Source organism: Homo sapiens, chromosome 7, assembly GCF_000001405.40.
Source record: "Homo sapiens chromosome 7, GRCh38.p14 Primary Assembly".
In the NCBI taxonomy this organism is placed as follows: domain Eukaryota; kingdom Metazoa; phylum Chordata; class Mammalia; order Primates; family Hominidae; genus Homo; species Homo sapiens.
In genome coordinates, this window is record NC_000007.14 from 97,550,137 (window position 1) to 97,577,578 (window position 27,442).

Consider the following 27,442-nt stretch of genomic DNA (forward strand, 5'->3'; position numbering starts at 1 on the left):
CCTTTCCTGTTTCAAAACTACCTGTAATATGAGGGCCGCAGGTTAAGAAACACAGGATTCTTCTAGAAATGTTCTTTTGGCATAGGGCATTCATAATAATAAAGTCAGAGCTTTTAAGCAGACTACAGCACCCAGCTCAGAGCGTAAGGCATGAGGTGTTTAACATGAGCACCTCTCATGTGCTCGAAGTAGTTCAGATGATAGATCAAATCCCAGATTCACCTCTTGTGTCACCAATAGACTTACCCTTTGTAAACATTAATTTCCTATCCAACAAATTAAGAATAGTAATATCTATGCCTTATAATAGGTGCTTAAGAAATTCTATCTGTGACTATCACTGGATAATTAAGGTAGCAGCAAATGAAATCCAAAACCAGATACATCTTGGTAGGGTTAGTCAAGCATTTTTAGAAAACTACTTTCACATGTATTCTTTCATTTCCATCTCATTCTGTCTTTCCAGAACTAGGGGTAGAAGCTGAGGCATTAATTGAAGGACAGAAACAACAGATAGACAAGAGGGAGCTGGTGAAAGAAAGCTATCCAACCGATGTCTGGATTTATAATGATACCTTCAAATACTGTGTTTTCTTGTTCTCCATAGATTCAGTTTCTCAGTTCTTCCCTGGCTTCTCATTGTAGTACTTATGGTGAGTTGCCTACCCAATAAGCACTCTCTTTCTTTTCTTTATTATCACAACTCTGATTTTCGTAAAGGACAACAAGCCCAGTTAAAAATATCCCCCTCCTCACACCTCCTTGTACAGTTAGCCAGAACTAACAGTAAAGCTTAATTTCAGTTTAGTTAGAACTTGCAGGCAAGTCTTTCCTAAGGTCATTAGTTCTGGCCAATGAGATTTAAGCAAATGCCTATGGGGTAGGTGGACCAAAAAGTTGTGGTTTTTTTCTTGTTCAATAAGGAACAGATGTACCTTCTGCCCTTCACCGCTATCTCACATCTTTACCGCCTGAAATGCAGATGCCATGCCTATAGATGGAGCAACCATCTGGTGGCCAAGGGAACAAGAGCCACACCCCAAGAATGTGAGAACAGGGTTTGTATTACATGCACCTAAATGCAATCCTATTTGATATTTTTGTACAGTCTGATTCCAAGTTCCCTCATCAATGGATAGCTGCTATCTTAGGTGCTTTCTTGATCCCAGAAGCACTCAGAACCAAGAACAATGTTCCAGGGATAGCTGACTAGCCCAGAGGACCAAAGAAACTCCCAGCTCTGTCTTGTAAAGCTCTCATTTATAATGTCATTGTTAATGCTTAAACCACATGTATCTGTTTCTCTACAGAATTCATATTGACTATTCACCACCCATTCAATCCCATTGCTGAGTATATATTCAACAAAAAGAAAGTCAGTATATTGAAGAGAAATTTGCACTCCCATGTTTATTGCAGCACTATTCACAATAGCCAAGATGTGGAATTTACCTAGGTGTCCATCAATAGATGAATGGATAAAGAAAATGTGGTTTATACACACATAATGGAGTATTATTCAGCCATAGAACAGGATGAAATCCTGTCATTTGTAGAAACATGGCTAAAACTGGAGGTCATTATGATTAGTCAAATAAGCCAGACATAGAAAGATAAATATCGTATGTTATCACTCACATGTGGGAGCTAAAAAAGTTCAAAACCACAATGAGATGCCATCGCATGCCAGTCAGAATGGCGATTATTAAGAAGTCAAGAAACAACAGATGCTGGTGATGCTATGGAAAACTAGGAATGCTTTTACACTGTTGGTGGGAATGTAAATTAGTTCAATCATTGTGGAAGACAGTGGCAATTCCTCAAAGACCTAGAACCAGAAATACCATTTGACCCAGCAATCCCATTACTGGGTATATACCCAAAGGAATATAAATTATTCTATTATAAAGATACATGCATGCATATGTTCATTGCAGTACTATTCACAATAGCAAAGACATGGAATCAACCCAAATGTCCACTGATAATAGACTGGATAAAGAAAATGTGGAACATATATACCATGGAATATTATGCAGTCATAAAAAGGAGTGAGATCATGTCCTTTGCAGGGACATGGATAGAGCTCGAAGCCACACCCTCAGCAAACTAATGCAGAAACAGAATACCAAACACCACATGTTCTCACTTATGAGTGGGAGCTGAACAATGAGAACACATGGATACAGGGAGGGGAACAACACACACTGAGGCCTGTGGGTGGGGGAGATCATCAGAATAAATAGCTAGTGTATGCAGGGCTTAATACTTAGGTGATGGGTTGATAGGTGCAGCAAACCACCATGACACATGTTTACCTATGTAACAAACTTGCACGTCCTGCAAAGGGTATCCCAGAACTTAAAATTTTTTTAAAAAACCATTGATCTCATGGAGTTAGAGAGTAGAATGGTGGCCATCAGAAGCTGGAGAGGGTAGGGACAATAAAAGAGGTTGGTTAGTGGGTACAAAAATATAGTAAGATAGAAGGAATGAGTTCTAGTGTTTGTTAGCACAGTAGGGTGACTATATTTATTAATGTATTGTATATTTCAAAACAGCTGTAAGATTTGGAATGTTTCCAACACAAAGAAATGATGTGTTTGAGGTGATGGATATCTTAATTACCTCTATTTGATCATTACATATTGTATATATGTATCAAAATGTCACAAGTACCCCCATAAATGTGTATATTATGTACCAAACAGGGAAAAGTTAGATATTATCATTGTATCACTGTGATAAGTTATGTATCTGTAAACCACAGAAACCCACTGTAGTTAATTTAATATCATTAGCTAAAATGTATTGAAAACTTGATTCATAGCAGGTACTTTTCTAAGTTTTTCATCTCCATTTAATTCTCAGAACAATCCTATGACATAAGAAGCATTAAAGTTGCCACTTCATAGACAGAGAAACACAAGATGGAAAGTTTTAGAATCAGGATTCAGTCTCAAATATACACATACTCTTAGTCTCTTACATTATGCTGGTTCCCAATGGAATATATTGGAAGTGTCAGGAGCTCACAAAACTGATGAGAAAGCTGGTGAACTAGAATTAGAAATGGGCAGGCTCCACAGGGCTAAGAAACAAGCAGGATCATCTGGATTGGGCACTAGTGCCAGAATGAATCAACTCCAACCATTTTCAATCCTTTTCACTCTACTAAAACCACAATTCCAAATGGTCTATCTTGGTCACGTGCCTGCCCTTTGATAAGTCAGAACAGGGAAGCTGATTAACTGTCCCAGATTCTGTGCCTGAGGAGGAACAGCTAATTACCCAGAATTCAAGTTTCCCTTAGGGAAATGGGAAAGAGAATAACACTGAGTGTCGAATATGTACTACCACCATTCATAAATCCCCTCAGCCTTACTTGCCCCGGAAATTTTTCACTAGCTATCTTGCTCCTACCTGCTGACATCTGTGGCCAAGATGTAGGGGTAGGGGTGAAAGGATGGGCTCATTTTCACCCTCCAGACTATTCTCCTCCTTTTAACTCTTATCTCTTCTGCAATAGTCCTAATTTCCATTCTCTGATACCCATTAGAGGGAAATTACAGTTTTCTATGACTTTCTTTTGTAGAGTGATCTAACTTGTCTTCTTCCATTTCAGATAAGCCCACCTCTGCATAAAGAAAAAGTCACTTAAGTGTTGTCCAGAACCAAAAAGCCTTTAATAAGTATATTCACTCAATAACACAAAGAATACAAAGAAGCTTTGTCTTCAGAGATTCTTGTTAGCCAGTTCAATATGAAAATATTAGGTAGAGTTTCTTCTTCTACCTATAGTCCCTAGAAGAAAGCTCACAAGAAATTTTATTCTCTTCTTTCCCAGTGAGGTTTGTTTTTGTTTGGAGATGTATGACATGAATACAAATTTCATAATCATACAGTCCAAAACCCCTTGTTCTGTTTCTGTATGCCTCAAACCTCCCTTCTGCCTAATGCAGAATATTTCACATAGTTGCTTCTAGGTAAGCACAGTCAATTTCTGTGTTTTTCTCAAGCAATGAAATTTTAAAACCCAGTTCTTTAACACTTCTCCACCGGAGTTGATGCTTGGGCTCCAGAGGTTTATCGAATGCCTGTGCACAACTTCCACTCATTTTGTGCTGGCCTGCTACTCCAGGGGTGATCGGCTTCCTCTGTAACCCCTTCTGAGCTGACCATTCATTTGCTTCAGCAAGGCCAGCTGAGTGGCCCACCCTGGCTCCTTTTTTTTTGGTCATTTCCTGAGGATGCCAAATCGCCCTGAAGTCAGTGAGTTCTCTCCAACCTGGGTTACATAAATGGCCAATTTTTGAGGCATGTGGAAGGCTAGCGGCTCTTCTGTCTTCCTTTGGGGACAATGAAGGACACCAAGACATCACTCTGTCCTAACATCCCTTGTGACGATTACTGTCCCGTGGCTCCCACACCACAAAAGCACAGGAAACAGCTATGAGTCTGCTAACTATCGAAAGGCAGGAGCACACGCTCAGCTCAGGGTCCCCAAACTTATCTCAGGGATGGACTTGCCACTCGCATGCCCTCAGCCCAGCCTGCTCTACCACACTGACTGAGGTGGTGGGAGCAGAGGAACAGTGAGACAGAGCAGGCCGATGGAAATCTACATGCTGCTTTTCTTCTTCAGACCTGGGAATCTTCATCTGGTCTGGAGACTGGGTGTACGAGAAGGAGAAAAAGCTGATAGCTTATTATCAGTCTTTTCCAAACTCCAATCAAAAAATCATTCTGGTACTCTGCTTCTTTTGCTGATAATCCCTTAATAGAGGAATGTCATTGGATAAATACAGAGTATGAGAAAAAGTATATCTATTAATACTTGACATATAAAGCCATTATACACACCTAAATACATATGTGTATTATATAATAGAGAGAGACTGTAAGTCTAAATTAATATACAGCCAGTAATCATGGAAAAAAAATGTCTATCACGAAACACATCTGAAGGTTAACCATGTGGCAATTTGTACATCCTTATTATTATTATTATTTTTTTGAGACGGGGTCTCGCTCTGTCGCCAGGCTGGAGTGCAGTGGCGCAATCTCGGCTCACTGCAACCTCCGCTTCCTGGGTTCAAGCAATTCTCCTGCCTCAGCCTCCCGAGTAGCTGGGATTACAGGCACGTGCCGCCACACCCACCTAATTTTTGTATTTTTAGTAGAGACGGGGTTTCACCACGTTGGCCAGAATGGTCTCCATCTCCTGACCTCGTGATCCGCCTGCTTTGGCCTCCCAAAATGCTGGTATTACATGCATGAGCCACCATGCCTGGCCTGTACATCTTTCTTTATGCTTCTATTTATTTGCCAAATTCTCTACTCAGAGAACATATTCTTTTATAACCACGAAATAAGTAAATAATAGTTTTTAAAGCTGCTGTGTTAGTCATAGCAATAGACCACTATATCTACATTCCATGGCACTTAATTGCATTTGTAGTAAAAACAGGAAGAAAATAATGAATAAAAATGTATACAGTAAACGATTTTCCCCAAAAAACCTTTTCCTTTCTGATATTGCAAACAAACTGCTTGAGTTACAAGCACAGGTTGTTTTTATACTGTGTTCTGAGGTATTCATGATGTAGGCTTACATTGCAATCCTATTTGGGAATTAAGACAAATGAGCTAAATTTTTATGTGTTTGTTCCATGTTTTATTTTCACAGACTACTTTCTGAAATCAGTAATTGTCTTGTTCCGGTAAAAGAAAGCCTTCAAATTAGATATAACTTTTTAAGTCTCCGGACGCACCGTTTGTGCATAGAAAGGTTGCTGAGGAGATGTTCTCAGCCAGGATAGGAGCTGATTATATAGATGAAGCACTAGGGACTGAGAAGAGCCAGGGATGGATCCAGGAAGGGTCATGCAGGAGGTGGGGAGGGGACCCCGCTTGCTACCAGCCCACCGCTCCATCCGCCTGCAGTTCACTCTTTGCTCCCATTGTTCTTGGTTAATGTTTTAGAGACAATAGAAGCTGTTACATTTAAAAGAAAAATGCCTGGTAGGCTGCAGTTTGTAAACAAACCAGAACAGCACTATAGTGCTTTTGAATCATTTGGCAAGAGATTGGGGAAAGCATTTGGATGGATTCCAAGAAGCATATTGCTGTGTCCAAATGACTAACTGCCAGTGACTGGTAGTGAATTGATCCGTGTTAGTTCAGGACCTCCAAAGACCTGCTCACAGGTGAAGAATGAGGAGTTTACATCCTATTCCAGACCAGGCTTCTGACAGATCTCCTAGTTATAGAAGGAGGTCTTTTCATGCTTAATCGCTGGTCTTGGTACATAAAACCTATGACATTTTGGGAGACATGACACCAAGTGAAGTTGTTTTTTTTTTTTGAGACGGAGTCTCGCTTTGTCTCCCAGGCTAGAGTGCAGTGGCACGATCTTGGCTCACTGCAAGCTCACCTCTCAGGTTCACACCATTCTCCTGCCTCAGCCTCCCGAGTAACTGGGACTACAGGCGCCCACCACCACGCCCGGCTACTTTTTTTTATATTTTTTAGTAGAGACGGGGTTTCACCTTGTTAGCCAGGATGGTCTTGATCTCCTGACCTCATGATACGCCCACCTCAGCCTCCCAAAGTGCTGGGATTACAGGCTTGAGCCACCATGCCCGGCCTGTTTTTGTTTTTAATCTCCCATGGTTAAGAAAATAACCCATGATAAAAGGATAATCTTTGGCCTCTGTTGGGTACAGAGAACAGGCAAACTACACTGGATGTGAACATGGCATCGTGAGTGTTTTTTTGTTTGTTTTGTTTTTGTTTTGAGACGGAGTCTCGCTCTGTTGCTCAGGCTCGAGTGCAGTGGCGCGATCTCGGCTTACTGCAAGCTCCGCCTCCTGGGTTCACGCCATTCTCCTGCCTCAGCCTCCCGAGTAGAGTAGAATAGCTGGGACTACAGGCCCCCGCCACCATGCCCAGCTAATTTTTTGCATTTTTAGTAGAGACGGGGTTTCACCATGTTAGCCAGGATGGGTCTTGATCTCCTGATCTCATGATCCTCCCGCGTTGGCCTCCCAAAGTGCTGGGATTACAGGTGTAAGCCACCATTCCTGGCCCATGAGTGTTCTACAGGTTCTATGGGAGGAAGGAACATGGCGAGGTAAATGCTGAAACAACATATTTTATCTAAAATCAACTCCAAATCTAGCCTTCTAAAACTCTTACCCTGTTGATAGACTGAATGTAATTTGCTTGAATCCACTTAATCACAGACAACATTACATATTTGCGAGTTATGTAACTATAGACAATTAACTTTTAAGAGATTCTAATGACAAATTCATACTATAGAACTGGTTAACAAACCTTTGAAATACCCTCATCAAAAGGCCACACTCCTAACCCAGCTACTATTAGTGCTTCAATACTACTATCTTAATTCCCAAGTTCATCAATCAGTATAAATGTTAAAATTAGTATTTCTTTGATGAAATGAACTGTGTTTATGATATATGGGTTGCCTAGAAATATTGGACTGATACCTCTATGACTGCATGAAGGTAGCATAAGAAACTGATGAGTCCATCATCCTTCCACCTTAGGATTAAATCTTTTGGCCTAGAATTCCACTCAGTTGTATGCCCACCTCTTAAAGGAGTGTTCTGTTGCCTCAGTCAATCCAAAATTCACCTGAGCCAATCCAAAATTAACCTGAACCTTCTTAAAAACAATAATCAGTTTTGCATTGAAGGGAAGCTTTCAGGCAAAAGTTTTCAATGAAGTACTTAAAAGGCCATAGACTAGAGTGTCTCTTGAGGCCTGACCCCGATCCATCCTTCCTCATTGGGCAGGACTTCCCTTCAGGAACTCCAATAACTCCAGCCAGAGGCTCAGGGACAGAACCTGTATCTCCCTGGGCCTAAGCCCCTAGGGGGAGGGGTGGCTGCAGTCTGTGCAGGCCAGCAGACACAGCCTTTCCTCCTGGTAGTTCTGAGGAATCTGGACAGCTCAGACAAGTGGGTTTCCCCCCAGCAAGACACACCCCTTCTACCAAGGGACAAAGTGCTTCATTAAAAGTGTCCTGTTCCCCGTGCTACCCAACTGGGTGAGACCCTCCAACAGAGGCTGTCAGACACCTTATACAGGAGTGAGCCTATTGGCATCAGCTTGGTGCCCCTTAGGGTCAGAGGTCCCAGAAGAATGAGCAGGCACCCATCTTTGCTGCTCTCCAGCTTCCTTAAGAGACATATCCAGGTGTGGGAGTGAATCAGATGAATAGGGGCTAAAGCCCCCAGCAAACTGCAGCAGCCCTACAGAAGAGGGACCTGACCATTGAAAGAAAAACAAACAGAAAGCAACAACAAGAATCAACAACAACCAAGAAAAGCCCCCACAAAAACCCCATCCAAGGGTCTGCAGTCTCAAAAACTAGACAAACTCAAAGATGAGAAAGAATCAACAAAAAATTGCTGAAAACACAAAAGGCCAGAGTGCCTGTTCTCCTCCAAATGATGGCAATGTCTTTCCATCAGGGGTACAGAACTGGATGGAGGAACAGATGGATGAATTGACAGAAGTAGGCTTCAGAAGATGGGTAATAAACTACACTGAGCTAACGGAGCTCAGTGTTCTAACCCAATTCAAAAAAGCTAAGAAACTTGATAAAAGTTTAGAGGAATTGCTAACTAGAATAACCAGTTTAGAGAGGAACATAAATGACCTAATGAAGCTGAAAAACAGCCCAGGAACTTTGTGAAACATACACAAGTATCAATAGCTGAATCGACCAAGTGGAAGAGAAGATATCAGAGTTTGAAGACCACCTTACTGAAATAAGGCATGCATACAAGACTAGAGAAAAAATTATGAAAAGGAATGAACAAAGCCTCCAAGAAATATGGGACTTCATAAAAAGACCAAACCTATGATTGATTGGAGTACGAGAAGGAGATTGGGAGAATGGAAACAAGCTAGAAAACACACTGGAGGATATTATCCAGGAGAACTTCCCCAACCTAGCAAGACAGGACAACATTCAAATTCAGGAAGTACAGAGACCACCGCTAAGATACTCCATGAGAACATTAACACCAAGACACATAATCATCAGATTCTCCAAGGTCAAAATGAAGGAAAAACTGTCAAGGGAAAGCCAGAGAAAAAGGCCAGGTCACCTACAAATGGAAGGCCATCAGACTAACAGCAGACCTCTCAGCAGAAAATCTACAAACAAGAAGAGATTGGGGGCCAATATTCAACATTCTTAAAGGAAAGAATTTTCAACCCAGAATTTCATATCCAGCAAAAATAAGCTTCATAAGAAAATGAGAAATATAAACCTATTCAGACAAGCAAATGGTGAGGGATTTTATTATCACCAAGCCTGCCCTGCAAGAACTCCTGAAGGAAGCACTAAATATGGAAAGGAAAATCCAGTACCAGACACTGCAAAAACACACCAAAATATAAGGACCAATGACACTATGAAGAAACTGCATCAACTAGTGTGCAAAATTACCAAGTAGCATCATAATGACAGGATCAAATTCAAACATAGCAAAGGTAAACTCAAACATAAATGAGAAAAATGCCCCAATTAAAAGACACAACTAGCAAATTGGATAAAGAGTCAAGACCCATCATTGTGCTGTATTCAGGAGACTCATCTCACGTGCAAAGACACAAACATAGGCTAAAAATAAAGGTATAGAGAAAAATTTACCAAGCAAATGGAAAGCAAAAAAAAAAAAAAAAAAAGCAGGGTTTGCAATCCTAGTCTCTGTCAAAACAGACTTTAAGCCAGAAATATCATAAAAGACAAAGAAGGGTATTACATAATGGTAAAGGGAACAATTCGATAGAAAGAGCTAACTATTCTAAATATATATGCACCAAATACAGGAGCACCCAGATTCATGAAAGAAGTTCTTAGAAACCTACAAAGAGACTTAGACTCCCACACAATAACAGTGAGAAACTTTAACACCCCACTGTCAGTATTAGATCAACGAGACAGAAAATTAACAAGGATATTCAAGACTTGAACTCAGCTCTGGATCAAGTGGACTTAGTAGGCGTCTACAGAACTCTCTACACCAAATCAACAGCATATACATTCTACTCAGTGCCACATGGCACTTATTCTAAAATCGACCACATAATCAGAAGTAAAACACTCCTCAGCAAATATGAAAGAACTGAAAAAGTAACAGTCTCTCAGACCACAGTGCAATCCAATTAGAACTCAGAATTAAGAAACTCACTCAAAACCACACAATTATGTGGAAATTGAACAACCTGCTCCTGAATGACTCCTGAGTAAATGGTGAAATGAAGGCAGAAATCAAGAAGTTATTTGAAACCAATGAGAACGGAGAGACAACCTACTAGAATCTCTGGGACACAGCTAAAGCAGTGTTAAGAGGGAAATTTATAGCACTAAATGCCCACATCATAAATCTAGAACTATCTAAAATTGACACCCTAACATCATAATAAATAGACCTAGAGAGGCAAGAGCAAACTAATCCAAAAGTTAGCAGAAGACAAGAAATAACTAACATCAGAGCAGAACTGAAGGAGATAGAGACATGAAAATCCCTCCAAAAGAATCAATGAATAAAGGGGCTGGTTTTTTGAAAAAATTAACAAAATACATAAACTGCTAGCTAGACTAATAAAGAAGAAAAGAGAGAAGAATCAAATAGACACAATAAAAAATGATAAAGAAAATATCACCACTGACCCCACAGGAATACAAACTACCATCAGAGAATACTATAGACACCTCTAGGCAAATAAACTAGAAAATATGGAAGAAATGGATAAATTCCTGGATACATACACCCTCCTAAGATTAAACCAAGAAGAAGCTGTATCCCTGAATAACCAATAACAAATTCTGAAATTGAGGTAGTAATAGCCTACCAACCAAAAAAAGCCGAGGACCAGACAGATTCACAGCTGAATTTCTACCAAACGTACAAAGAGGAGCTGGTACCATTCTTTCTGAAACTATTCCAAACAACTGAAAAGGAGGGACTCCTCCTTAACTCAGTTTATGAGGCCAGCATCATCCTGATATCAAAACCTGGCAGAGACATAACAAAAAAAGGAAACTTTAGGCCAATATCCCTGACGAACATCGATGCAATAATCCTCAATAAAATACTGGCAAACCTAATCCAGCAGCACATCAAAAAACTTATGCACAAGGATCAAGTCAGCTTCATCCCTGAGATGTAAGGCTGGTTCAACATACGCAAATCAGTAAATGTAATCCATCATATAAAGAGAACCAAAGACAAAAACCACATGATTATCTCAATACATGCAGAAAAGGCCTTTGATAAAATCCAACATCTCTTCATGTTAAAAACTCAAACTAGGTATTGATGGCACATATCTCAAAATAATAAGAGCTATTTATGACAAACCCATAGCCAATATCATATCAAATGGGCAAACGCTGGAAGCATTCCTTTGAAAACTGGCACAAGACAAGGATGACCTCTTACCACAACTATTCAACATAGTATTGGAAGTTCTGGCCAGGGCAATCAGGCAAGGGAAAGAAATAAAAAGTATTCAAATAGGAAGAGAGGAAGTCCAATTGTCTCTGTTTGCAGATGATATGATTTTATATTTAGAAAACCCCATTGTCTCAGCCCAAAAACTCCTGAAACTGATAAGCAACTTCAGCAAAGTCTCAGGATACAAAATCAATGTGGAAAAATCACAAGCATTCCTTTACACCAAAAATAGACAAGCAGAGAGCCAAATCATGAATGAACTCCCATTTACAATTGCTACAAAGAGAATAAAATACTTAGGAATACAGCTAATAAGGGATGTGAAGGACCTCTTCAAGGAGAACTACAAACCACTGCTCAAGGAAATAAGAGGACACAAACAAGTGGAAAAACATTCCATCTTCATGGATAGGAAGAATATTGTGAATGCCCAAAGTAATGTATAGACTCAATGCTATTCCCATCAAACTACCATTGACATTGTTCACAGAATTAGAAAAAACTACTTTATATTTCATATGGAATCAAAGAAGGCCCAGTATAGCCAAGAGAATCCTAAGCAAAAAGAACAAAGCTAGAGGCATCACACTACCTGACTTCAAACTATACTACAAGGTTATAGTAACCAAAACAGCATGGTGCTGGTACCAAAACAGACATATAGACCAATGGAACAGAACAGAGACCTCAGAAATAACACTACACATCTACAATCATCTGATGTTCAACAAACCTGACAAATACAAGCAATGGGGAAAGGATTTCCTATTTAATAAATAGTGCTGGGAAAACTGACTAGCCATATGCAGAAAACTAAAACTGGACCACTCCCTTATACGTTAAACAAAAAGTAAGTCAGGATGGGTTAAAGACTTAAATGTAAAACCCAAAACCATAAAACCCTAGAAGAAAACCTAGGCAATACCATTCAGGACATAGGGATGTGAAAGATTTCATGACAAAAACACACAAAAGCAATTGCAACAAAAGCCAAAATTGACAAATGGGATCTAATTAAACTAAAGAGCTTCTGCACAGCAAAAGAAATTATCATCAGAGTGAACAGGCAACCTACAAAATGGGAGAACATTTTTGCAATCTACCCATCTGATAAATGTCTAATATCCAGAATCTACAAGGAACTTAAATTTACAAGAAAAACAACCCCATCAAAAGGTGGGTAAAGGATATGAACTGACACTTCTGAAAAGAAGACATTTATGTGGCCAACAAACACACACAAAAAAAGCTCAACATCACTGATCATTGGAGAAATGCAAGTCAAAATCACAATGAGATACCATCTCATGCCAATCAAAATGGCAATTATCAAAAAGTAAGGAAACAATAATCCTGGTGAGGCTCTTGAGAATTAGGAATGCTTTTATACTGTTGGTGGGAATGTAAATTAGTTCAACCATTGTGGAAGACAGTATGGCGATTCCTCAAGAATCTAGAACCAGAAATACCATTTGACCCAGCAATCCCATTACTGGGTATATACCCAAAGGAATATAAATCATTCTACTGTAAAGACACATGTACATGTATATTTATTGCAGCACTATTTACAATAGCAAAGACATGGTACCAGCACAAAGGCCCATCAATGATAGACTGGATAAAGAAAATGTTGTACATACACACCAAGGAATACTATACAGCCATAAAAAGGAATGAGATCATGTCCTTTGCAGGGACATGGATGAAACTGGAAGCCATCATCCTCAACAAACTAACACAGGAACAGAAAACCAAACACCACATGTTCTTCCTTATAAGTGGGAGTTGAACAATGAGAACACATGGACACAGAGAGAGGAACATCACACCCCAGGGGCTGTTGGGGACTGCAGAGTGAGGGGAAGGAACTTAGATGATGGGTCAGTAGGTGCAGCAAACCACCATGGCACACGTATACCTATGCAACAAACCTGCACATTCTGAACGTGTATCCCTTTTTTTCTTTTAAGAAGATATTTTTTTAAATGACAAACTTGTCAGGAGGAACAGTAGCTGCAACATTGAACAGAAATGTATGTATATAACACTTTTTCAAAATTAATTTTAAAAAAATTATTTTTTAAAAAGGTCATAGAACCAGCCAGGCATGGTGGCTCATGCCTATAATCCCAGCACTTTGGGAGGCTGAGGCGGGCAGATCATGAGATCAAGAGATCAAGACCGTCCTGGCCAACATGGTGAAACCCTGTCTCTACTAAAAATACAAAAGTTAGCCGGGCATGGTGGCGCACGCCTGTAGTCCCTCCTACTCGGGAGACTGAGACAAGAGAATCGCTTGAACACGGGAGGCAGAGGTTGCAATGAGACGAGATCAGAGGTTGCAGTGAGCCGAGATCTCACCACTGCACTCCAGCCTGGTGACAGAGCAAGACTCCGTCTCAAAAAAAAAAAAAAAAGCCATAGAACCAAAATTCACAGATCTTAAAGAAAAGGTTGAATCTGCTCTGGTGCTCTGGGACCTGTTATTAGCCTTATTGCTAATAAATATTTGTACTGTAACAAAATGTAGTCTAAATCTTGCTTTCTTTGTAACATGCCATCTAGTAGGAAAGTAGTGGAGGAGACCTGAAGTTGTTGCCTACTTTTACCTAGTAGAGGGCACCTGCCCTTTAAAACACACCCACACCCATTGTGAACAACCAAAATACATGATTGGTTTATTTCAAGCACATGTCTTCATCTCAAACATAGTGGCAGAACACTATTTTCTATGCTAAATTTTGGATTGTCCTCAAATTGTACATTTTTTCCCCTTGAGGGTAGATTCTGTACCAATGTCTAAAAGTCACCCTTACTAGCAGATGCCTTACAAATATATATATACCCAAATTCAATTTAGTGTGACTATGAATAATCAAACCAAAAATTATAGAAGAAATTAACACTTAAGATGAACAGACACCCTTAGTAAAGTTAATGTTCTTACAGCAGAGAACACTGATCGCCTTTTTGAAGACTTTTTACATTATTTTCATTTTATAGACAGATCAACATGGCATGAATTTTCCTCATATCAGATGCTGACTTGTAAGCCTAATTATATCCATATTTAAAGTATTAATGAGTTTTCTCATTAGATTTTCCACACAGAGGCAAGGAGAGGGCCAATCTAGTTATTTTCCAGGGCATAAGGTTAAAATGCTCTAAAGTTGATGGGAATAAAGAGAAGATGGTAGCATGTCCAGGTTTATTTTTAGTCCATTCATCTGCTTGAATTTTATGTTTCAAAAACTGAACTACGGCTGGGCGTGGTGGCTCACGCCTGTAATCCCAGCACTTTGGGAGGCCGAGGTGGGTGGATCACTTGAGGTCAGGAGTTCAAGACCAGCCTTGCCAACATGGCTAAAACCCGTCTCCACTAAAAACACAAAAAAATTAGCCAGACGTGGTGGCATTTGCCTGTAATCCCAGGTAGCTGGGAGGCTGAGGCAAGAGAATTGCTTGAACCTGGGAGGCGGAGGTTGCAGTGAGCCAAGATCCAGCCACCGTACTCCAGCCTGGGTAACAAAGCGGGACTCCATCTCAAAAAACAAAACAAAACAAAACAAAAAACAAAAACACACACACACACAAACACAAAAAAACAAAACTGCCAACTACCATCGTACCCTGCAATGTGATGTTTAAGAAGAAGATGGCAGAAGAAGACACTCAGCAAATGCTTGGTGCATCCATCTGAAGCACCTACTTTAGGGCTGGCCTAAGACAAATTATGGCTTAAAACTGGTGACTTTCCAACTTCCCCTTACGTAGCCTGTAAGGGCAAGATGATAGATGCTACTGTCACTATTTTGGTTGATAGATGCCTGTTAATTAGGATAGGTAAACTGATATCTGTGAAAATACTATATTCAACTAAACATAAAATCCTGAGGGCTATTTCTAGTAATTCTCTAAGTGAATTTCAAGCTTTCCAGTATCCCAACTTTAAATTGAAAGCAATAATATCTATCCATGTTATTTTAGTCAGGGTTTTCTAGAGAGACAGAACTGATAGTATACATAGACATATAAAAGGAAATGTATTAGGGGAATAGACTCACTTGATTATGAAGGCTGTGAAGTCCCACCGTAGGCTGTCTGCAAGCCGGAGAATCAGAAAACCCAGTAGCGTGGCTCAGTTTAAGTCCAAAGGCCTCAGCGCCAAGGAAGCTAATGGTGTAATTCTCAGTCCAAGGCTGAAGGCCCAAGAGCTGGGAGGAGCTGCTGGTATGAGTCCAGGAGTCCAAAGGCTGGAGAACCTTGAGTTCCACAGGCAGGAAAATAAAAGCACCCTGATTCCAGAAGAGAAGGAGAATTCACCCTTCCTCTGCCTTTTGTTCCATATAGGCCCCCAGCCAATTGGATGGTGCTTGTCCACATTCAGGGTGGATCTTCCCCACTCAGTCCATTGACTCACACACCAATCTCCTTTAGAAACATCCTCACAGGCACACCTGGGGCAGCCAAACCATTTTAATCAAAAGCAAAACCACCTGAGATTCATTTCAGCAGAAGCGGGATAGGCTCAGAGCCTACAGAAGCATTGAGAATAAACAATGCTTTACCAGCTGAGTATCCCTTAATCCAGTCAAGTTGATAGCCTAAAGCAACCTTTCACATATTGACATCAGATGTGAAGGACTCATTCAACAAACACTTAAAACACTCATTGGGTAACTACTATATTCAAGGCACCTTGTTAAGTTTTAGAAGTCCAAGTGGTTGCAATCTATCAGACTTACAATTAAACCTTAATGGAAAGTATAAAAAGTAGAAAACAAAGGATCTAATTCAAAGAAGGAAAAATAACAGGGATTTGTCAAAAAAAGTAACCCTTTTTCAAATAGTATTTTTCCACTTTTTTGAACCTAAAATGTAGGTCTTAACTTCGGCTGCTCATGAGAACTACTGATGATTTGTTTGTAACAGTGCTGGTCAGTGTCCATGGTCATTTCTTGTCCCCCCTTCCAGAGCTACCTAATTAGAATTTTTTTTTTTTTAAGATCAGTGCCCATGGTCATTTCTTGTCCCCCCTTCCAGAGCTACCTAATTAGATTTTTTTTTTTTTAAGATGGAGTCTTGCTCTGTTGCCCAGGCTGGAGTGCAATGGCATGATCTCAGCTCACTGCAACCTCTGCCTCCCAGGTTCCAGCGACTCTCCTCCCTCAGCCTCCCCAGTAGCTGGGACTACAGGCACCCGCCACCATACTCAGCTAATTTTTGTAGTTTTAGTAGAGATGGGGTTTCACCATGTTGGCCAGGATGGTCTCGATCTTCTGACCTCGTGATCCGCCCGTCTCGGCCTCCCAAAGTGCTGGGATTACAGGCGTGAGCCCCCACACTTTTAGAGGAGTGGGGAACAGGCTTCTATATGCAAAAAAACTCTGTAAGTGATTGTGTTATGCAGTGGGCATTGAGAACCACTGGCCCCAGCAAGGCAACTGGGGAAAGAATGTTAGTTTCCTTTCTCCCCTTCCACCTTCTGAGACTTTGTTACCAAGTTTAGCGTAAGCTCGGTAGACGGGCTACTTGCCAAACCGTCCTTTTTATTTAGAAGATTGGACATGATCCTCAAATCCAAGTTTCCCTCAAATTGCTAATGATTATGGCAGTCAAAAAGAGAAAGAGAAGAACTTAGACTATAGTGTAAGGTGACCGGAAAAATCTGATTAAAGGACAAATGTTCAGTTCAAAGGTGTTTCGAGCTGAGAATAGCATCTCTATTTACTCCTCACGATGTTCATCTCAGGAGGCACTGTACTTTCTACGGTTTACACTCAAATCCTGTAGAGCAGCATTTCTTCTACTGTCTTTCCCATCTTGGGCTTTCTCAGTTTGTACTTTTTCATGAAAGCCACTCACACTTTGTATTTTGTTTGCTGTTATTTTTAATTTAAAAATGGTTAAATCATTTGTTTACATTGTATCTTTGGAGGGAAGCACACCTGGCTTAATTCTTAATTCCCCTTACCATAGGACATTTCCCTCTGAGAAACCCCCAGGTCATAATTATCATCTTTCCCAAAGTTTTTCTTGGTCTTCTTAATAGTACTCCACACGGTTAACACTCCATCTGTTCTCACTCCATTGAATGCAATTTAGATTTTACTGTATAATCACGGGATTCTGAATGCATAATAAATACTGCCTTTGTTATTAGTTATTCCATGCATTTATGATTTGTCTTCCCAAGTAGATGATAAACATTTTGTCTGCTAACTCATAGTTCTGCAAATTCAAGAGAGGACTGTGCTTTGTCAATTTTTACTTATCAAAAACCCCCACGTTCAATTGCCTCGACCCTATTGAGGGTTACTTTTGATTTTGCAAGTAAATAGAAAAAAAGGAATCATTTTCTGAAATCTCTACTTAAAAGCACAAAATTCTCATCATTTTTCCAGGCATTAAAAGTTGCTGCATGAATCCTATTATTTCCCAGAAGAGTATTTTTAAAAAGTATAGCTGACTTACTCTGTACACATTTAAACTAAGATAAAATACCCACCCCCAGCCCCCGGCAACGCAGGTTTTTTTTTTTAAAGTCTATTTTCACAAGTCATAGGAAAACTCAGATTTAGAGATCTCTAAAATCCTGTAGTGGGACATTCTGTAAAATGCTCTTCCAAGAAGATAATTCCACTATGGACTTCATGACACTTCCTTGTGTGGTTAATCACAAACAATGTAGCATGAATCAAGGGTTGGAGAGATTTATAATGCTTCTTTTCCTTGGGACTTTTCAAAGGCATTTTATATCGCCTCATTTGAGGCCTCTATGTGAAAGTTTCCCTTAGAAAAAAGATCACATAATAGCATGATGTTCAGCAAAGATTGTCTGAAATCCACTGAGTTGACAAAAGCATTTTATTTTTGGGACCAAAAAGATTTAATAAACTTCCAGTTGTGCATGCATATAGAGGTAACAATAGATCAAATGACCAAAAAGTCAATTCAGAAAATGGTCTTGCTCTGGTAAAAATTATTTAAATTACAAGTAACAGAACCTACATATACCGTCTTTGCAAAAAAAAAAAAAAAGTGCAATGGGAGAGATTTAATGGAAGAATAAAAAATATATCACTATGCTTTGTGCAATTAGGTGTCACAGCAAAAATAAGCTCAGAAAGAGAACAAGAGACTCCATATCAGAAGTGGCATGTCCTTTCTTCTTTGCCGATCTCATGATATCTGTCTCATTTTGCTTATGGCTTCTTCTGCAGATTGAGGTTTTTTGTTTTGTTTTTTCAGGACTTAGTTTTGCTCTTGTCACCTAGCCTGGAGTGAAATGACACGATCTCTGCTCACTGAAACCTCTGCCTCCTGGGTTCAAGTGATTCTCCTCCCTCAGCCTCCTGAGTAGCTGGGACTACAGGCATGTGCCACTACACCTAGCTAATTTTGTATTTTTAGTTGAGATGGGGTTTCACCTGTTGGCCGGCCTGGTCTCAAACTCCTGACCTCAGGTGTTCCACCCACCTTGGCCTCCCAAAGTGCTGGGTTTACAGGCATGAGCCACTGTGCCCAGCCAGATTGAGTTTTTATATCTGCTATAGACATGGCTGCTTCAATACTTTTCATATCATTTTTTTAGATGATGTGAACTGTAAGATCACATGAGAAAAAATATGAGACTTCCACTTTCACTAATTGAAAATCAGATAGCTCAGACCAACATTCACCCAGATGACATAGAAAAGATGAGAAAAAACTTGTTGGCATCATATAGATAAGAAGATACTGAAGATTTACTAGGTCAAGATTCAGGAGAAGATGAAAAGGCAGAGACAGGCACCTAGCAGTTGGAGATACTTCCCTGGAGGCATCTGTTGATTCCCAAAGAAGCTGCTCAGTTACTAAGCAACACTTTTCTCAGCTTCATGGAATTTGGAAGACAGAAGAATAAGCCAGTTTTTACCAAAGTGGAGAAACTGATAAATCCCTGTGCTTGGATTGGAACCTAAAATGGCTTAACTCTAGAAGTAAGGCTAAATCAGAAGTGAACTATCCCCGATATGGACTATGGCCCAATATCAAGTCATGGAGTTTGATAAAATTTTGAAATTGAATTAAGGTAATACCAGATTAGAGATTACAGTGCCCAAAGGTGCATGGTAGAAGCAAACAAAATATTTTTCAGAAAAAAATCACATTACCCAAACCTCAAATTATTTCTATAAGCACTTTTCCAAATAAAATGCCTGGATCCCATTTATAATAACCAGGTACACAAAAAGAAAAGATGAATATAAATCAGCAGAAACAATAGACAATTAATCATACCAATTGAGGTTGGTCCATATGTTTGAACTAATAGATACAGACTTTAAACAGACTTTAAAAATAACTATGTTGGTCATATTCAATGAGTTCAAAAGAAAACTGAAATATTAAAAAATGCCTAGCATATTTTTTTTAAAAAAGGAGATGAAAATGAACAAAATAGAAATTATAGGGTGCAAAGTTCTAACAACTAAAATTTAGAACTTCATGGATGAGTATAACAACTAGTTAGGCATAGCTAAAAAGAGAATCAGTAAACTGAGAGGTAGGTCAGGAGAAATAATCTAGATTAAAGAACAGAAAAACAAATGAATGAAATGCACCAAAGAGAGGTAATAAGAGGCATGGATAATACAGTGAAAAGGGCAAACATACATTTATCTCCAGACCCAGAAGAAAAGGAAAGAGAGAGGATATTGTACAAGCAATATTTGGGAAGATGACGACTGTGAATATTCCAAATGTGATGAAAGACATCATCCACAGATTTAAAGCAGTCCAAGCATAACAAATGCAAGGAAATCCACACCTACACATATCGTAACAGAAACCAGAAATAATCAAATGTAAAGACATAATCTTAAAATTAGCTAGAGAAAAATATATACTGTTTTCTTTTCTTTTTTTTTTTTTTTTTTTTTTGAGACAGTCTCGCTCTGTCACTCAGGCTGGAGTGCAGTGGCACTGTCTCAGCTCACTGCAACCTCCACCTCCTGGGTTCAAGTGAGTCTCCTGCCTCAGCCTCCTGAGTAGCTGGGACTATAGGTGTGTGCCACCATACCCAGCTAATTTTTTGTATTTTTAGTAGAGATGGGGTTTCACCGTGTTAGCCAGGATGGTCTCGATCTCCTGACCTCATGATCCACCCGCCTCAGCCTCCCAAAGTGCTGGGATTACAGGTGTGAACCACTGCACCTGGCCAGATACACCATTTTCAAAGAGCAGTAATTAGATCAAGAGTGGACTTCTTATCAGACAAAAATATAATTATCTCCTCAATGGGTTGAAAGGAAGTAATTGATTTTTATGCCATTGAAAATATCATTCAGAATTAAACAAAATATCTTCATGCCATAGAAAAAATAGAGAATCTATCACCTGCAAAACTGCATTAAAACAAGTACTAAAGAATGATCTCCAAGTAGAAGAACATGTTTTTAAATGAATCTTAGAGATGCAGGATGGAGTAAAAAATAATGAAATTGTAAACAGGTGGGTAAACTAAATAAATATTAACCACATAAACCAGTTATAACAATGTCTTATGAGGTTTGTTTTTTGTTTCCTTGAAGACAGGGTCCGGTTCTGTTACCCCAGCTGGAATGCAGTGGCACTATCATGCTCACTGCAGCCTTGAACTCCTGGGCTTAAGCTTTCCTCTTACCTCAGCCTCCTGAATAGCTGGCACTACAGGTGTGCACCACCATAACTGCAATTATTTTATTTTTTGTAGAGAGGTGGTCTTGCATTGTTGCCCAGGCTGGTCTTGAACTCCTGGCTTCAAGCCTTCCTCCCGCCTTAGCCTTCCAAAGTGCTGATGTTTAACACACACACACACACACACACACACACACACTCCTATCTGTTTTACAGAGTAATCCATAGGTCAGAATCTAGCTCATTGATTACCCTTACAAGAAGTCTATTAAAGAGAGAAGGCAATGTGTCTTAATTTGAAGCTTATGGAAGTTGTTGAAAAAATGCCTCTCTCCCCACTCCAATTTACCCACCCCTCCACAAGAAACAGAAGGAGGCTGATCAAAGTAATCAAGACTGACTGGCATGTCTCAGCATTCCAAACATATGTATATTCATAAAATCTAGGGAAACGGGGCTCTGACCACTGGAAGTCTGTAACACACATTGTTAGGACTAGCTGAATTATATAATTACTACCCAGGTTGGTCAGGACACATCTCTCACACAAATAAGATGTCTTAACCACCAAAAAAACAGAATATAACATTATCTTTAAAAATTAAAAAATTAAAAGTAAAAGTGTAAATAATTATCTGGAAGTGTTTGCCATTTTTGCAAAAAAATACTTATCTGCATTCAAGTTTGGAAGATTTTGTTTATTAGATCACCGAAGCTATATTCTTTTTTAACTGTATTTTATGTGGCTCAAGCAAAAGCATAAATTCTTAATATTGCAATATACTTACCATAATATAGCTATATAGTCTATTTGCAAAGGAGCAATAGTTATCATTGGACTCATATTACTTTTTCTTCTCAGAAACTTCATTTTTCAAAATAAAATGCTACAGTCATTACAGTGAAAATATAAACAGAACTATTTACAATATAAACACATATATTTACAATATAAACACAAATATAAACAGGAGTATTTACAATATAAACACTTACTGGAACCTACAACTTTCCAAAATCTTTCTCCTTCACTTTTTCCTGTCTAAAATTGGATTAATGTGTTCATTTTCAAAGGAACTTGATGGACAGTACTAAAAGTTTGAATATTGTGAGTGCTTAATAGTAGTTTATAAATGCTGAATACTAAGTTACAGGTGATGCAATAAGCATAACTTCAGAAATACTTCAAGATAATTTTGCCATGCTGCATGCTTTCAAATAAATTAATTAAAAAATATTAACCTAAACAGAAATATGATTAGACTCATCATGTCAAAATTGACTGTAATTTTATGTCTGTTAAACATAAGGTGAAGTTTATCTTCATTGAATTTTAGATAGTAACTAGAGCAAGTTGTCTAAGAGATAGTGTTATACAAAAAAATGATAGGGTAAATTGGTTAACAGTATATAGAATGCTGTTTCAGTGAATGCCACATTTTTGTAAAAAAACTTAGGGTTTAAAATAATAATAAACGAGAATTAATTGAGCTCCCTGGGGAAATAGTTACTGAAATAGTTAATATTTTCTGAAGAATAACAAAAAATAAGATACTAACTGAAGACAATGAATAAAGACAATTTTATTCTCAAACAATTGAAGTTTATACATTTCATGATCATCCAACGACTTCTTAATCGCTTTATGAAAACTGGTTTGAACACTTCGAAATAGACACAGACTTCCTTCTGCAGAGCTATCAATGACAGGGACACTATTAGACGGAGATTGCAGAAAAGCTCTCACCAACTTCAATGTATTTTTATTTAAAATTCCACTACTGACATGTAACCATGACAGCAAAGAGGGCCTTTCTCTAACTGTAGAATAAGGAGATAGGCTCTTTGAGCACAATATCCATCAAAAAGATTAAGTAATGAAACAGGACACATTTCTGTCACTTCTACATCTGCCTGCTGTGCAAGTACACAAGGAGAGAAAGAAGCTGTCAGTTTGAGCAGCATTTTCCAATCTGAGGCTTTTAGGAAAATTACAGGGCACTGAAGAATGACAGTTCACATTAGAGCTGATTGGTGTCACAGCCAAAAGGAGGAAAGGCTCCTTGTCCTTTCACAATAGGGATTCGTCTTCCTTGAGCAAAGCTAATCACCTCCCATACTCCCAAAACTAACGATATAGCTAATCAAAAGAAATCATCCATTGAAGTGAAGTCTTCGTAGGCTCTTGGTTTAGTACAAAATCAATTTTGATTTTCATAAATGCCAGGTAGCTTTGACTGTATTGTCAACATCTGCACAGGTAATGTTGCTGAATACCTGAAGGTTGCTCCAAGTTTCTGTCCTAGAAAGATAGCTCTTGCTCCTGTTAATATGGGTAGATGTTCTGATTCCAAATAAAGTGCAATTTTTCATTATCCAGTGTAGTATCACTTGAGTGATTATATTAAACAGGATAGACTTCTCATCTTTCCCAGTCAAGGAAGAAATGTTTGACAATAGTGGCCTCTTCACTTGGAATCTGTAATCACAGTTCTTGGCATTGCTTCCTTCTGAGTTTTAGCTCAGAGCTAACAGAGAATAACACACATATATTACTGTGTTATTTAGCAAAGGACAGAGAAGAACAAGTGAAAAGTGGTCAGTTTAATATTTTAGCAATGTCTAAATCAATTGTTTACTGAGTATAAGAGGTTTTATCAGTGCAAAATCCTTCAAAAAGTTTTGAGGAAATCTGTCCAAACTAGGGAAGGCAGATTTATACCTAATAAACACATTTAAGAAAGTTGGGTGCCACCTGTTTTTTAAAAAAATTAAAATGGTGGTGTACTTATCAGGCTATTCAGCCTAATTTTTTTATTATTATTATACTTTAAGTTCTGAGGCACATGTGTAGAACATGCAGGTTTGTTACATAAGTATACATGTGCCATGGTGGTTTGCTATACCGATCAACCCATCATCTACATTAGGTATTTCTCCTAATGCTATCCCTCCTGTAGCCCCCCAACCCCCAACAGACCCTGGTGTGTGATGTTCCCCTCCCCATGTCCATGTGTTCTCATTGTTCAACTCCTACCTGTAAGTGAGAACATGTGGTGTTTGGTTTTCTGTTCTTGTGTTAGTTTGCTAAGAATGATGGTTTCCAGCTTCATCCACGTCCCTGCAAAGGACATGAACTCATCAGTTTTATGGCTGCATAGTATTCCCTGGTGTATATGTGCCACATTTTCTCTATCCATTCTATCATTGGTGGGGATTTGGGTTGGTTCCAAGTCTTTGCTATTGTGAGCAGTGCCGCAATAAACATACTTGTGCACGTGTCTTTATAGTGGAATGATTTATAATCCTTTGGGTATATACCCAGTAATGGGATGGCTGGGTCAAATGGTATTTCTGGTTCTAGATCCTTAAGGAATCGCCACATTGTCTTCCACGGTGGTTGAACCAATTTATACTCCCACCAACAGTGTAAAAGTGTTCCTATTTCTCCACATCCTCTACAGCATCTGTTGTTTCCTGACTTTTTAATGATCGCCATTCTAACGGGCATGAGGTGGTATCTCATTGTGGTTTTGATTTGCATTTCTCTAATGACCAGTGATGATGAGCTTTTTTTCATATGTTTTTTGGCTGCATAAACGTCTTCTTTTGAGAAGTGTCTGTTCATATCCTTTGCCCACTTTTTGATGGGGTTGTTTTTTTCTTGTAAATTTGTTTAAGTTTTTTATCGATTCTGGATATTAGCCCTTTGTCAGATGGATAGATTGCAAAAATTTTCTCCCATTCTGTAGGTTGCCTGTTCACTCTGATGCTAGTTTCTTTTGCTGTGTAGAAGCTCTTTAGTTTAATTAGATCTCATTTGTCAATTTTGGCTTTTGTTGCCGTTGCTTTTAGTGTTTTAGTCATGAAGTCTTTGCCCATGCCTATGTCCTGAATGGTATTGCCTAGGTTTTCTTTTGGGGTTTTTATGGTTTTAGGTCTTACATTTAAATCTTTAATCCATCTTGAGTTAATTTTTGTGATTTTTATTTTTTATTTTTTTGAGACTGACTCTCTGTGTCGCCCAGGCTGGAGTGCAGTGGCACAATCTCGGCTCACTGCAAACTCCGCCTCCTGGGCTCAAGGGATTCTCCTGTCTCAGCCTCCCGAGTAGCTGGGATTACAGGCACGCACCACCATACCCAGCTAATTTTTGTTATGTTTGGTAGAGACAGGGTTTCGTCATGTTGGCCAGGCTGCTCTCGAACTCCTGACCTCAGGTGATCTGCCTGCCTCGCCCTCCCAAAGTGCTGGGATTATAGGTGTGAGGCACCGCACCCGGCCTCACCTTAAATTTTATAAAAGTACTAAATGATAGTAGACCCTCAGGCGGTCTTGCTGCAAAACTGAATTCTGTAATACCCTTAGTAAAGGAAGAGAAAGAAATCATAGAAAAATCAAAGTCCCAATTAAAATAGCTCAGAAAACTGTGCAAAAGATATTTGAATTATTTTGTTAAATTCCATTCAATATTAGAAACACATGTATCATTCTAAAGATATCTTCAAAGGTGTAAAATTAAAAGTCTAGTAGCAAGTCTCTATAAATTGCTTGATGGAAAATGGTCAAATGATAGCAACTGAAAAGTAATCTGTTTTTAGATTTGTTTAGCCCAATTCATCTTTGTTTTGGTTGTTTTAACATTCGTAAGGTAAACCTGTCATATGCAGCTGAGAGTATTTCAGTGAGATCACAGTTAATCTGTCTTGGGAAGAAACAAAATTTTCATTTAAATGGAGCAATTCAAGAGACTTTAATAAAAGGACTATTTACAGAGGTGTAGGCAAAGTTTATGAAACCCAGATATAACAAAACAGGAAGCTGCTATGGCTGTAGGCAGGAAAGAAATAAGGGTGTAAATAAGGTCATCAGAACAGAGTAAGAGGTGGAGTCATGGAGGAGAGGCTGCCCAACAGAATAAGTTACAGTCTTAGGGGCCCACAGCCACTGCCAGAACCCTGAAACACAGCAGGGAGGGAATGGTGAAGAAATAATCCTACTTCTTTCTTTTCACTCCAATGTCTTGTTGATGGCTGTGTTAGATAAACTCCACAGGAAACCAGCAGACTAGAGAATCTGGGCAATGCTGCCCCTAAGCATCAACTACACAGGACAATATGTAGGGAATAGAAGGATTGAGAATGAGTCTGAGTAAATGTGGAATAACCAGAGTACAATGTATGTCTATTGATAATTAAGTTTCATAGTACTAGCTGCAAATAAATGAGTAGATATTTCTGCTGATTTGTAGTAATTTCAATGATTCCTGCCTCCAGTCTTTTATGGCCATAGGTTATTTAACTGTCTCTCTATTGATGAATTATTAATTTGTTTCCAATTTAATACTCTTATGAACAATATTGCAATGAACATCCATTACTTCAAGGCACTGCAACAGAGATATAGGAAAGGTATATTTTTAAAGTAAACTTCATTGAAGTATAATATACTTACAATAAAAATAATATCACACTTTTTAAGTGTACATACAGATCGGTGACTCTTAACAATTGTACATACCCTTGTAAATATCATCAAGATATAGAACATTTCTATTCCACAAAAAAGTTCCCTTGCACCCCTTTTTAGTCAATCTCTTCCAACTATTTACCTATTCCATGTGGCCACTGGTCTGATTGTGTCAAATAGATTAGTCTTGTGTATTCTAGGATATTATACAAATGGCATCTTTTGCTCAAATATCTATGAAATGCAAACATATTGTTGTATCTATCAGTAGATTGCTTCTTTTTATTGATGAGAAGTGCTCCATCACACAAGTAAACTCTAATTTGTTTATTCATTCACCTATCAATGTTTCTAATTTTGGCTATCATGAATAAAGGTATTATAAATATTTATGTAAAATTATACACATAGATTTTTCTCTTGGGTAAATACTTGGAAAGACTGAGATATGTGATAAGTGTATGCTTTACTTTAGAAAAATGGCTAAACTGTTTTCCAAAGTGCTGTATCATTTTACACACTCACCAGGAATTTTTATGAGTTCCAGTTGCTTTACATCCTCACCAACAATTAGTCTCACCAGTCTTTTTGATTTTAGTTGTTCTAGTGAGTATGCAGTGTTTTTTGTTTTGTTTGTTTGTTTGTTTTTGAGATGGAGTCTCACTCTGTTGCCCAGGCTGGAGTGCAGTGGTGAGATCTGGGCTCACTGCAACCTCTGCCTCCCGGGTTCAAGTGATTCTCCTGCCTCAGCCTCCCGAGTAGCTGGGATTACAGGCGTGTGCCACCATGCCCAGCTAATTTTT

At 38.9% G+C, this 27,442-nt stretch overlaps 1 long non-coding RNA gene across 1 annotated transcript in view, besides 1 other annotated feature; it reads right to left on the reverse strand.

Annotated features, from left to right (window-relative positions):
• LOC105375416 (uncharacterized) overlaps positions 1 to 15,595 on the reverse strand; it is a 237,202-nt gene extending 221,607 nt beyond the window's left edge. The window contains exon 1 of the long non-coding RNA XR_001745293.1: positions 15,575 to 15,595. This is a non-coding gene — a long non-coding RNA (uncharacterized LOC105375416). The remainder of the gene's footprint in view (positions 1 to 15,574) is intronic.
• Positions 25,930 to 26,508: an enhancer, noted in NCBI's record as "OCT4-NANOG hESC enhancer chr7:97205378-97205956 (GRCh37/hg19 assembly coordinates)". NCBI's record gives its function as "activates a minimal SCP1, AML or CMV promoter by ChIP-STARR-seq in naive H9 embryonic stem cells {active_cell/tissue: H9 hESC(naive)}" and the evidence as "EXISTENCE:reporter gene assay evidence [ECO:0000049][PMID:30033119]".